This window comes from Homo sapiens, chromosome 3, assembly GCF_000001405.40.
Source record: "Homo sapiens chromosome 3, GRCh38.p14 Primary Assembly".
NCBI lineage: Eukaryota > Metazoa > Chordata > Mammalia > Primates > Hominidae > Homo > Homo sapiens.
Genome location: NC_000003.12, coordinates 151,339,444 through 151,352,966, shown reverse-complemented (window position 1 = coordinate 151,352,966; position 13,523 = coordinate 151,339,444). Strand labels below are relative to the sequence as shown.

Sequence of the window (13,523 nt, the reverse complement as noted above, 5' to 3'; positions counted from 1 at the left end):
ATGAGTAACATTATAGTCAATATATATTTTTCCTCATCTTTCTTATGTTAATTTGCTTTTATAACATATTATTGCTCTTTTGTTGCTTAATTTTGATTTTCTTTTTTAAAAATCTTTAAGTCCTGAAACTTTAGCCTCTTAAAGGTTGTCATAGTAAACTTCACTAATATTTTCAAAAGATACACCATTGACAACCAAAAAAGATAACTGGTCAAGGCAAATGAAAAATGAACTTTGATCATTCAACTGGAAATGTTATTTAAACTTTATACTATAAATTCCCCTAGGCAAGACCTGGCTGATCTGACAACACTCCTAAATGAGTTGGTTCCTCAAAATATTATTTTCATGTGTTCCCAGAAATCAAATACATGCTAACACAAGGTCTGTTTTCCTTACCAGTACTCATGTTGCTGAAAAAAGTGGGCATATTTCCATTAATATGAAGTACAGTTAGCTAATTTCTGGTGCTTACACTAAGTTTTAACTAGTGACTTAAAATTAAGATTATTTACAATACAGCAGCTCACTACATCCCAAATTAACAGCTTTCTGGTTAAGGAACTTTATCTAAAATGAAAGAAAGTCAAAAATCCCCTCCCAACGATGTGGTTCCACAGATGATGTTTCTATTTACTGAAAAAGGTTGAGGATCCCTATTCTGAGAATCCAAAATCTGAAATTCTCCAAAATATGAAACTTTGAGTGCAGACATAATGTCACAAGTAGAAAATTCCACACTTGATCTCACATAACAGGTCACAGTCAAAATGTAGACACACAACACAGTTTATTAAGCATCCCCAAGAGAAAAATAAAATTACCTTCAGGGTATGTATATAAAGTGTATATGAAACATAAATGAGTTTCATGTTTAGACTTGGGTCTCATCCCCAAGATTTCTCATTATATATGCAAATATTCAAAAATGTGAAACTATCCAAAATCCAAAACCCTTCTGGTCCCAAGCACTTCGTATAAGGAATACCTCACCTGTTTCTCAAAAGGCAGCACAGAACAACAATGTTTTTCGCTTTGTGAGTTCATATGCTAGAATTGCCTATTTGAGGGACTGCTACAAAGACAGGACAAACTATAGTGTGGCATTAAAAAGCTGTGAAGGAAGTTAGTACGCTCAACAGAAAAGGATACCACATTGCTTCCTTCCCCTTCCCATACCCCTCAAGCCTTCTAAAAAGTTCCATAGGCTCTGGAAAGACCCTCTAAAAATAATTTAGATAAAATATGTATTACGAACCTCCTGAAGGAAATACTGACTCCCCCCTACCCCATTGCCAAGTATACCAAAAGTAGTTTTAAATATTCTTTGCTAGCTAGTTTCAGGGCTTCTAAATTCAATCTTCTAAATGCAACTGTTTCCTCTTTTCTCTAAGACAGAGAAAACACCAAAACAACAGATAAACAGTTTTCTTAGACAGAGCACTTTCTTTTTTCAAACTCAATAATGACACATCAACAAGAAGGTTTCATTTCCCTTCCACAACTCTTGGTTGCTTCCTCAGAGAGCTGAGGTATTTCAAAGCCCTTAACTGGGAATGGAAGGGAGTTAGGGAAGGTGATGTGAATAACAGGAAGGATAACTTTCCCACTGTGTTCTGAGGACTATCACCTCTGACATCAGATACCCAGAATGCCATATGCAGATAGAAACACACTGCCTCTTGTACCATGTTTCTGCATGTGCACCATGATTGACCGGGAAGAAAGAGAACCTATCTTCATTATTAAGATCTGTATTTTTCTCTAGTAAAGATCTAGGGTGGACAAATTCTAGCAATTTATCCTGCTAAAGTCTAGGAACTGGATCTCCTGTGAAGAGTCCATAAAAAAGTATATGTACTACAGAACAGTAGGGCTCCTAGAGGTGGTTTATACCACGTGCAGGAAGAATGTTGTTTACATAGAGTAAACACAAACTTTCTTTTTCCTTCTATGATTTAAGTATTAGAGAAATAAACACCAGTGGTGGTAGCAGGATACCTAATTATATATTTAAAATAATTTGATTGCCTAATGAAATAAACAAACCTTGAAAAGAATAATTAGGCAAACGTGAAGTGGATAATTACAAAATTCCAATTATGCAATGTGGTGATACAACATAAAGGCACAGCTTCACTGTAAAAACTATGTCAAAAGGATGAGGAAAGAGCATTTCAACTAAAGAAGACATTATAGAGCAAAGATCAAATTCTTTTATTTGAAATCATTTGGAGATATAGGTAGCCATCACTACCTACTGCAATCATTTTTCTCAATAATGCAAGAAAAGGTGAGCAAATATGCTGTCATGATTTTCAATTAACATGCAAATGTGAGTGCCCCAGAAAAAAAACTAACCACAAGCTTGGAAAATTATGGTAAAGAAACAGAGAAATGGATCTCTTCCAGACTAAAGGTTTTCAACTCATTCTTCAGTACTTCATTTATTACTACTATAGAAAATTTGAGAAGTATACCAAAAATCAGAATAAATTACCTACACCTACCTATGGAATACAATATTTTAATAAAATAATATTTAATATTAATACCTTGTATTAATATTTTAATACAAGGGTTGCTATAAATGGAAACAAGGCTTTAAAATTTAAATGTGCTTGTTCACATTTCAATGTGAGAGTCATTCAGGAGGGGAAACGCTCTGTTGACAGTGACATAGAACACTTTGATAAAGACTGTGCTCAGAGGGAAGGCAAAAGGCAACACAATGGGAGCAAATGCATTAAGGTTCTTTACCCCCTGTCTCTGTGGTGCTCTTCTTATTTAGAATTTTCAGGATATCTTTGGTAATCTTCTTCAGCTGATGCCTTGCTTCATCACGCTCTTTGCCGACTCCATAGAGAAGGATTGTGCGCTGGTTACATTCATGACTTGAAGATTCATCCTGAAAAACAGAAAATGCATTCTGAAACTCTTGTCTGCAGGGGTGGGGTTGCATTTCATATCCCTGAAATGCACTGACCACAGCACCTCCATGCTGGCTTGCGGTGGTGGCATCCCGCCCTCCCTTCAATTCACCTCAACCTCCACTGGCAACACCCTTGTTTTTCCAGTTTGGAACTTGCTAACATTATAAAAAAAAAAAAAAAAGTGTCAACTGACCTGAAGTCTTAATAGAAGCACTTGATGTGGGCGTACCCTACAAAGTAAGTTTTGGCTATTGAAAAACTTTTCATTGTTTAAAATTGAACATGGTATTAATTTCACATCATGTAACATATTGTCTAGTCATATTTTTCCCTTAAGGAAAATGTTATCTCTTCATAAGCCTGGTTTTATATATAGCAATAGTAAATATTTACATTTAGGGAAAAATATCTTGCTAGGATCCTCAAACACCTTTATAAAAAATATTCCTGGACAGGGTGCAGTGGCTCCTGTCTGTAATCCCAGTGCTTTGGGAGGCCAAGGTGGGAGGATCTCTTGAGGACAGGAGCTCAAGACCAGCCTGGAAAAGAGCAAGACTTCATCTCTACAAAACTATATATATTCCATTTATTTCCAACATGACTGTGTGAGATACATGTATATTTATTTCCAAAAGACAAAACAATAAAGCGTGTAGGTGTCATTAGGTGTGAGGCAAACAGCTGAAAATGCAAACATGTTCTGACATCACCACTCTTCCCTTCTGGACCACCTCTCCACCACCACCCCATAGGCACAGTGAATCCAAGCACCATTTTTTTCCCCACGTGGGAAAGAAATTTAGTCACAGCATAACGAAAGCATATGCACACCACTGAACACATTCCTCAGCCAAAGTAACAGAGTCCAAGATGTGCCCTCTCTTGTGCCTGGCTCTGAATCTTTCTATAGCAATTTCTCTCTTGGATCTTATAATCTTCCATTTTCTTAGAAAATGTCCAAATCTATCCTTTGGTAAACCTCCTTTTCTTACTCTATGTATATTTTTGCCCATGGCAAGCACTTACCCTTCCCAACAGCATCCATCTTATCCTAAGGAGCTTATATGAGAAAAGAATTCCTCACAGAGAAAACAAACTGCACTGTGTTCCTAATTAGCAGTGGCAGCAACAAAGAACAAAAACCTCAGACTAGGAGAAGTCCAATGTTTGACCTGGAGTACTTCACATGTGTACTCTGCACAAAGTAGCATATTGCTTCTGTAGCGTTAAACTAAGCGCCTGTTTTTCTCTCTCCAATTCTGTTACTTGGCTCTCAGTCTTTGTGTCGGTCTGTCTTTCTCAGGGACACACTTGCCACTGCTTCCCATTGCACTGGTTCCTTTTTTATTATACATTACAAGAAATAAACATTTATATGCCCTGCCAATCTATCTATTCCCCACCCCCAAATGATTCTTAATGTTTCAGGTGTTCAAATTTGCCTCCAAAAAAAAAAAAAAGAAGCTAGGAGCGAGTTTCTCTTAGAAGCTGTTCTTATTTAATATCCTGAGTACCTCTCCCAAATTTTCAAAAGATATTCCTAATCATAGGATACAAATGACATAAGCAGTGATCCCTAGAGCTGGCTGCGCATCTGAATGAGCTGAGCTGCTTGCTAATTTCCCATTTTCGTTGTTGCTACAGAGAATTACTGATATATTTCTTTTTTCTTTTTTTTTTTTTTTTTTTTTTTGGTCTGGTGGTTTGTGTACATATGAACCCTAGGAAGGAAACAGGGGGGCACTAATAAAATTATGAAAAATGAAGGCAGTGCCAGTCACATGCTTTGGCAATTGTTTTCAGTTAAGGCATATCAGATGGTCCTAATGTAAATGTCCATGTGAAGGCTGATGACTGTAGCATAGTTATTCAGTAACTGTTTATAGAATATCTATTTGAGGCAAGACAAAATGCTAGGAGCCCTGAAAAAATACAAGGATGAATGATTCCTGTCTTCAAGGAGCACAGATTCAATGTCATCAAAGTAGTATTTACAGACCTAGAAGTCCAAAGAGGGGTGGTGAAGGAAAGCATCCTAGAAAGAGCCACGTGCTCCTCACATCGCACAGGATCACTATGGCTCCAAATTTACTGATAATAGCCCAAGCTTGGGGTAAGAGAGCTGTGACTGCATACTGGTTGTGCCACTTGCCAAGTCCATGATCTCGAATAATAAACCTTTCTAAACCTCTAATTCTTCCTCTGAAAAATGGGGTAACATCGCTTCCTTGTAAGGTTTTTGTGAGAAAACCTGGGATAAAGCGTGTAAAATGCTTCGAAGTATAATGGACAGTGTTCACTACTGTTAATTCACATGCTAGACTTCCCCTCCTCCTCTGCACATCCCCCACACCCACACCGAACTGCCTTACTCAACATTTCACCAAGACTCCAGGGCACTTCCTCCCTTTGCTGTTGCTCGTCCTTACACCTAAAATACTCTCATAGCCACGATTTCACTTGCTGAAATGCTATGTACAAATACAGTGTCAGTTCCCTCACTCTGTCACTCCAGTTTATTGAAAACCTCCCCACAGAAGGAGGGGAAGTAGACTTTGGAGCATTTATTACAGTATAATTCACTTATTTTCTAGGTATTTGTTTAATGTCTGTCTTCCTCATTAGTGTGTAAATTTTGTGGAAGACTCCATGTCTGTTTTGTTCATTTTTATAATCTCCTTAATAGGCAATGAATTAGCATCTAATATTTGTTGAACATACTAAATACAAAATAAGCAGACTAATGAACAAATATATAGCTAAAGGAATAGGGCAGAGGTGAAGATAAGGAGAAAAATTAGTTTTGTAGGAAACTTTACCTGATGATTAAGTGTTGAGAAAAATGAAGGGGAGATGTGAGAGACAAAGCTAGAGTAAAAAAGTTTGTAGGGTGAACTAAGTTTTAGTGGTGGGAATGAAGACTAAGAAGCAAAATGAAGAGGTATCTAAGAAGTTAGGAAAGGATCAGGCTTTTGAACCCAAGGAGTAAATGTGCATCTCACTGGACTTCAAGATGTATCCACTAGTTAAAATTATTTATAATGTATACTAATAAATAGTATTGTTTATATTACCAAGTAATTATTATTAATCTATTTACAATGTATAAAAAATTAATACATTATAACAGCAGGGAACTTTTGAATTTACATGTAATTGCAAGGAATTTGAAGGGTAGGTAGAAATGTGTAAATGTCCAGTAATTGGTTTGATATGGGCCCTAACACAGAGGTGACAGCTCAGGAATAAGGGCAGTATGTCAAGTCCTGGGAGGGGTGCAAAACCTTCACATTATGTTTAGGGAAGAAGGGCTAAGAGAGCTGAGATGGTGAGGGGAGAAATAAGCCAGCAAATGGTGCACATACATGCTCCTTAATTAACAAGATACTATAATTCAGGGTCACACAAGTCAGGGGAGGGGATACATAAGAAAGAGTGTCACTGACAACGTCCAGTGAGGTTAAGAAGTCACAATGGATGTGACTTCTTGTTTACTGACAAACCATGTGTGAACCTCAAAGGAGAAGAAGTTTCTCTAAGTGGCAGGGCACAAAGCTAAGAAACAAGCGGTTAAAGTAAGAGGTGATGATGAAATGGTGAAGATAGGGAAGTGACCCACATTTACCAGGAGTTGGGCATGAAGAACAACAGCTTGAGAGGAAAGAGCGTTATGAAGATCATCAAAAGACTCTTGTTTCAGACCTATCTTTCAAATAAACAAATTTCCATAGTAGAAATCAAGATTGGGGAACAGATAACTGATGATAAAGGATATAAGAGACAATGGCCTCTTAGCTGGATTAATATGGAAAGAAAGAAAGGAACATCTTTCTACTTGACCATCGGGAAAAAAAGAAAATTAGTGAAAATAAAAAGACATTTTGAGGTGAAGAAGACACTTAAGAAGCTCAAATCATTCCTTGGCCTTGATATGCTCAGGGAGTTGGGCCAAGGAACAAAGTCATGAGTTGAGAATGCAGGGATAAAACTGAAAGCAAAAGCAGCACGTAGTGAGCTGGAAAAGAATCACTGCTCAACCTCTATAAGGGGTGTAAAGACAGTATTCCTTTCTTAGCATTAATATTTTCAGGGAACTCATGCTAGGTGTTACTACAGTAGTCTTCAAATAGGACAGGCAGAGGCATTTTAGAAGCTACTATTTTTCAAGAGCCTACAAGATTTGTTTACATCAGTTTTTCATACAAGTAGAAAATGTAGGCTGGGCATGGTGGCTCACATCTATAATCCCAGCACTTTGGGAGGCTGAGGTGGAGGATCACCTGAGGTCATGAGTTCGAGACCAGCCTGGCCAACATGGGAAAACTCCATCTCTACTAAAAATACAAAAACTAGCCAGGCGTGGTGGCAGGTGCCTATAATTTCAGCTACTCGGGAGGCTGAGGCAGGAAAATTGCTTGAACCTGGGAGGCAGAGGTTGCAGTGAGCCGAGATGGTGCCATTGCACTCCAGCCTGGGTGACAAGAGCAAAACTTGGTCTCAAAAAAAAAAAAAAAAAGAAAAAGAAAAAAGAAAGAAAACGTAGAAGCCTTCAAATAGCAATTCATAACAAATGAGAATAAAGTCAACCTAAGAAAATATACCAAATATTTTCAAAAGTATCAACGATTTCTGCTCTTTCAACTTGGTGTTTAAACGCCCTCAAGTTGCACAGTTGTAAGTAATATTAATAATCTGAGATAAACACCCAAAAATTACTCTTGTTTATTCCCTCAAGGATACAGTTGTTGGACAAGGAAAAGCATCAACTGGAGAGTCTGTTACAGGAGACGTCAGGCTACCTCTTTTATCCTAGTCCACCTGCTGCTATTGAATTGAATGTGTCATCTCCCATGTAAACTAAGTTCTAAAAATCTCGTCCTTTAGATCAATTACTTTCTTTCTCCAGATATTATCTCATACTCACAGAAACTTAATAGATGAAGAAACTAGAAACATGCATGCCCAAAACCCTGGCAGGCTTGTTGTACTACACGAATTAAAATATGTCTCTTGAGCCAAATGTCCTTAGAAAGAAGAAATGGAGTTAAAGGAATTGAGGTCTGCTCTAATTCATCTTTATTTCTTTAAAATAACTGATTAGAAATTTTGCCAAAATGTGTATGTGTTGACAAAGATGTCATAATGATGGTAAGATGATCAGAGCTGTGTATTATCCTTTCACCTTACTCACATTTTCTGATATTTCAACAATGATTCAATTATCATAGAATTTTTAAATTACTAATGTCCTTAAGGAAAAATGAAAAAGATCTCACTCAGAATGCGCTTCCTTTCTTCCAAACACTAATAAAAACAGATGAAGTGGATGTAATTGTCCTTCTGATAAGACAAAATATGGCACTTCATACTTCCCAGTACTTCCTAATTTTTGCATGCTCTACTTCAAATGCAAATCCAGTATATATCCGGAAGTAAACTGCACATAGCAACCTATCACGTCTCTAAGAAAAGCAGTAAAAACCAGTCTTTAGAAACAATAAATGCATTTAGTTAAAATTTTTAGCTTATTAAATAACTCTTAAAAGATGCCTTAAAACACTATTTCTTTCAGCTGTATCTTTCAATATACCATGCTATTTTGTTTAGAATAAAACAAGTTCATATAAATGTTCCATCAGGAATAAGCTTCGAGCCTGGGAGGAAGAATGGGTGTGCACATGGATGAGGAAACTGTTACAGGAATGAAGAAATTAACAGGTTTTTTTTTAATCATTAGTAACTATACATAGAGTATATTTTCTGTAAATCAAGAAAATAGGAGGCGGATTTAACTACATTTGTATATTAAATCTTTGTTCTACACAGCTTATAGTCCACAGTATGACTGATATTTATATATCTACTAGTCCTCTTCTTGCAAGCAGAACACTTAAGACTGGGATGTCAGATAACTAGGTCACAAAAGACGGCATTCATTTTTGCGAAATATTTCAATGCCCAAGACTCGTTACTTTTGGAACCTGTTGGTATCTAACCTAAATTTCTATATTCCAATGGATAAAGCCAAGCTAGCAGACATGACTATGCACTGCTTTAAAATACACACCCTCAAACAAAATATTAATGTCAAAATGACCACATTTAGAACCAGAGACCACTGGAACTAAAACAGCCTAAGAGCTATCAAATGTCATAATTATATCTCTATCCTCCTGCCCAGTTCCAAAAGACTACAGGTTTCAGAGTAATCCCATTTGAAGCAAACATTTTCAGATGAGCAGACTACCTTTAGTAGACTTGGTAAAATAAACAAACCAGTTAAGCCACTTAAAAGTAAAAATTCTGTTCATTTTTCTAACTCATCTCAATTATACAAAATAACCAAACCAACCAAAGTTAGCTCTGTTCCCAACACTAACACAAATAACTACAAACTGTATGTGTTGATGTTATTTACTAATGAGAGATTAAAGTATCTATAACTTGCTCTGCTTCTATTCATATGAAAATATACTTCTGTAACTGAGATACTTTTCACTTAAAGATTTTAGTCACTTTCAGCATTAAGTGGTCTAACTGGCAGTCTTCCTCCAATGAAAAAATGTTATCAGAGGTGGTTTGTAAATAGGTATGTGGTTGTGAGTTAAAAATCAGAGGAAAAATAAAGTTAATTTAGATCAAGAACTGAAGCCCTTCTTTTATCCCTCAAATCTCTACTGTTAGCCCTTCTAGAGGTTTAGAAATATAAATTCTCAATAAGGTAGTATGACTTAAGTATTCTGAATTAGTAATATGGCAGATTGATTTGTTAAAAATAATCATTTTCTTGAATAAGCCTTGTTTCATTTGATGGTCTTAGAAAAAGCATCATAAACATCCTTTAGCATTTACAATTTGCTGTAAAGGAGAGTATGGTCCTTATTTTATTGAAAGACGTACAACCATCCCACACGAGATTCACTTCTCACTACTGGGGCCTCTTAGTGGGAGAGGGGTTGAGGAGAGGGTGTGATAGGGAAAGATTCTCAGGTACAGAAATACACAAATACAGATTCTAAGGCTAACTAGACAGCACAGGTCAGAATGGGGTCTCCATCTAACTTCACTGCTCTGCTCTTCAGTTCCCCTCATCCAGAGAATGAGGATGATACGCGTACTTCAGAGAATAGTTGAGATTATTAATAAAGTGAGTTAATCCATGACAGTGTAAGAAATTAAATATTGACAATTATTATTTGAAGTACATACAGCATAAAAGCTCTTTTTAAAATTTTGAGACTCCAACAAATAAGGAAGGCTAAGATTTGTTTACAATAGTCATATTTAAAAATAACAATACAACCCTTTCCAAGAGTTTAATATCAAACTAATCCCTTTAAGATGACCAACATTTGGGGATTATTATGTGTCTGAAGTGACTGATATTAATAGCTTCAAGTTCTAAATGGCAACAAAATTCTTATTCCATTTAAATCAGTGGTCCTCACATTTGAGTGTACCAAGCATCAATGGAAGGCTCACTAAAATACAGATGCAGGGTGGGGCACCCCAGAGTTTTTTATTCACTCAGCTAGATTGGTGCCCAAAAATGTGCATTTCTAGCAAGTTCCCAAGTGATGCAGAGCTGCTGCTCTGCACTGTGAAAACCAATGAAGATATTTAACATGTAAAGACATAGACAAATACTCAAAACGCAGAAGAAAAAACCAAAACGTGTTCACAGCAAAGGCACCAACACAAATGATTCCCACTGATAACAGAAGGACACTGCAGTTTGAGACACCAGGGAGGTGTGTTTCTGCAAAGCAATATTTACATAAAGTTAAAGCAGCACAGGTGTTGGAGAGGATGTGGAGAAATAGGAACACTTTTACACTGTTGGTGGGACTATAAACTAGTTCAACCATTGTGGAAGTCAGTGTGGTGATTCCTCAGTGATCTAGAACTAGAAATACCATTTAACCCAGCCATCCCATTACTGGGTATATACCCAAAGGATTATAAGTCATGCTGCTATAAAGACACATGCACACGTATGTTTATTGCGGCACTATTCATAATAGCAAAGACTTGGAACCAACCCAAAAGTCCAACAATGATAGACTGGATTAAGAAAATGTGGCACATATACACCATGGAATACTATGCAGCCATAAAAAATGATGAGTTCATGTCCTTTGTAGGGACATGGATGAAATTAGAAATCATCATTCTCAGTAAACTATCGCAAGAACAAAAAACCAAACACCACATATTCTCACTCATAGGTGGGAACTGAACAATGAGAACACATGGACACAGGAAGGGAAACACTACACTCTGGGGACTGTTGTGGGGTGGGGGGATGGGGGAGGGATAGCTTTAGGAGATATACCTAATGCTAAATGACGAGTTAATGGGTGTAGCACACCAGCATGGCACATGTATACATATGTAACTAACCTGCACATTGTGCACATGTACCCTAAAACTTAACGTATAATAATAATAAAATTAAAAAAAAAAAGTTAAAGCAGCAAAACACTTTGCCCTTCAATCTCACCCCTAACATATTTTTTGCCCTTCTGGTTTCAAAGTTAAACAACTGTAAATAATTGTGATACAAGGATGCCTTAATTTAATGTTATATTTTCCCAAAAACTCAAAGTTAGGTAAAGAAACAAAAAAAAATTGTTTATATTTAAATTCTATTCAAGAAAAGCATGAACGACACAGTATATAATAAGCCTGGCAATGGATACAATCACTTCTCTAATGTAATTTTGGAATCTGCTAATTTATAATAGAAGGAAGCTGTTTCACCTACAAAGGAGTTAATCAAACACAGGTTTAAAATAATGACATTATTAACCAAGGGAAAAACAAAGGGCCAGAGACTTAACATCCCTAGCCAGCACGCATTTTGAGTTAACATAATTACTTGTTAGAAGAAAATACATCACCCAGTGTTGTACACAATATATTTCAGATAAATTAACCACCCAAGAAAGCAAGCTTAAAATCTTCTCCAGGAAGCAGACTTCGAAGGCTTGATCTCAACTTGGATTTATCATTTGCATAGAAAATAACCATAACTCGAAGTTATAAATCATCAACTCTATAGCAGGTTTCAGTAAAAAGCCGCAAGATTTTAAATTGCTTTTTAAAAGATGACTTCTCAGCCATCCTCATCCCACATTTCCTGGGAAATAAAAGCAGAAGTCCTAAAAGAGGACAGATAGAAATTCAGTGTCTGCATAGCTTTGAGTCCAGTGTTTGAAGACAATCTCTGATTGTGAAGCCCTCTTTTTCTCTCCTTCTATTTCTCTCTAGAGCACTCAAGACTTTACTGACGAAAACTCAGGAAATCCTCTATCACAAAGAGGTTTGGCAACTAAACTAAGACATTAAAAGGAAAATACCAGATGCCACTCTGCAGGTTGCAATAACTACTACTTACTGGATACATTCAAACCCTCCAGAATCAACAGTTATCAGGTAATGTTATTTCTACAAGTACTTGACAAATATATGTATTTACACTCTGATATGTGTGTACATTTTTTCCAAGTTTCTCTTAAAATTGTAAACCTTAATAACTATCAATGCAAGCATGTATTTGGAATAAAAATTATAATTAAAATAGAAGTCTAATTAGTGATGTCAGAGACAATTGTTAATTAGCCTCTTTATTAAGAAAAATTATACAAAGCATAGAAATAAAATATAAATGGTCTTAGTTACTTTGCCTCAAGTATAAAATGAGATTTAAATACAGATAAAGGGAGCTGAAATTCTCAATGTCAAGAATACTTGTTAAATATCTTACAGACTACACAAAATGTATATTCACTAAGTCGAATTTCCAAAACGGTCAGGGATGAACTAAGACCACACAGCAGTAGCAGGAAAGGTTAAAATCAGTGATCTTGTATTGGAAAACATTAGGTTTTGTTTAGCATTATTTTAAAGCGCTAAATAGGTGAGGAGATGCTGAAAATTGAAGCCATACTGTGACAACATGATTCTTAATCGTTTTCCTTCCATAATTAAGGACAGAAAGGAATTCCATGGACATTTTGGGGAATTTAAGTGCTACATTCATTTATCTAAATATCTTTTACACGAAAGTTATTTTTTAAAATTTGTTATTTGTACTTTCAATATATCTCTGATTATTAAGAATATTTTATATAGAATCAATTTCACTTATCTCTGGTGAAATAAAAAGATTACAAACGTCATTTCAAATTCCCAAGATGTAGATGCCATATAGCATATTCAAGTCACTTGTTAAGTTTTCATTATAGCTGCCTATTGTGGTAATAACCTATATTTTATTTTAGCTACCATTACACACTCCATAAATCTGGAAAGTATGCCCTGTTTTGAGGAATGCCAACTCATGACCATATATACACAGGCCATTTCTGACTCTTATTTTTTTTTTTACTGTTTTAAAATTTATACTGAATGATATTCAAGAAAATGTATGCAGCAACTTCAAAACACTGAGGAAAGTTGGAAATAAGATACACATGGGTTAAAATATTTGAAGCAGAATAATGAATCTCCGTGAGGCCAATCTTTGAATGAGTGAGCAATATAGAGGCAGGAATATCTTCCAAATATAAAGAAAAAAGGTCAGCT

General features: G+C 36.0%; 2 protein-coding genes across 26 annotated transcripts in view; one reads left to right on the top strand and one right to left on the bottom strand.

The window, feature by feature from the left end:
• The window catches only part of MED12L (mediator complex subunit 12L), a 350,990-nt gene that overhangs the window by 83,687 nt on the left and 253,780 nt on the right, over positions 1-13,523 (bottom strand). For all 24 annotated transcript variants that reach the window (XM_017005676.2, NM_001393769.1, XM_017005678.2 and 21 more), the window contains one exon: positions 2,761-2,908. In XM_017005676.2, coding sequence (XP_016861165.1) covers positions 2,761-2,908 — 148 coding nt within the window. The remainder of the gene's footprint in view (positions 1-2,760; positions 2,909-13,523) is intronic.
• Positions 1-13,523, top strand: part of P2RY12 (purinergic receptor P2Y12) — a 47,911-nt gene that overhangs the window by 31,787 nt on the left and 2,601 nt on the right. The window contains exon 2 of one of the 2 annotated variants that reach the window (NM_022788.5): positions 12,207-12,371. The gene's annotated coding sequence lies outside the window, so the exon portion shown is untranslated. Of the gene's footprint in view, positions 1-12,144; positions 12,372-13,523 lie in introns of those variants that run through there. The other variant, NM_176876.3, reaches the window with a different exon arrangement.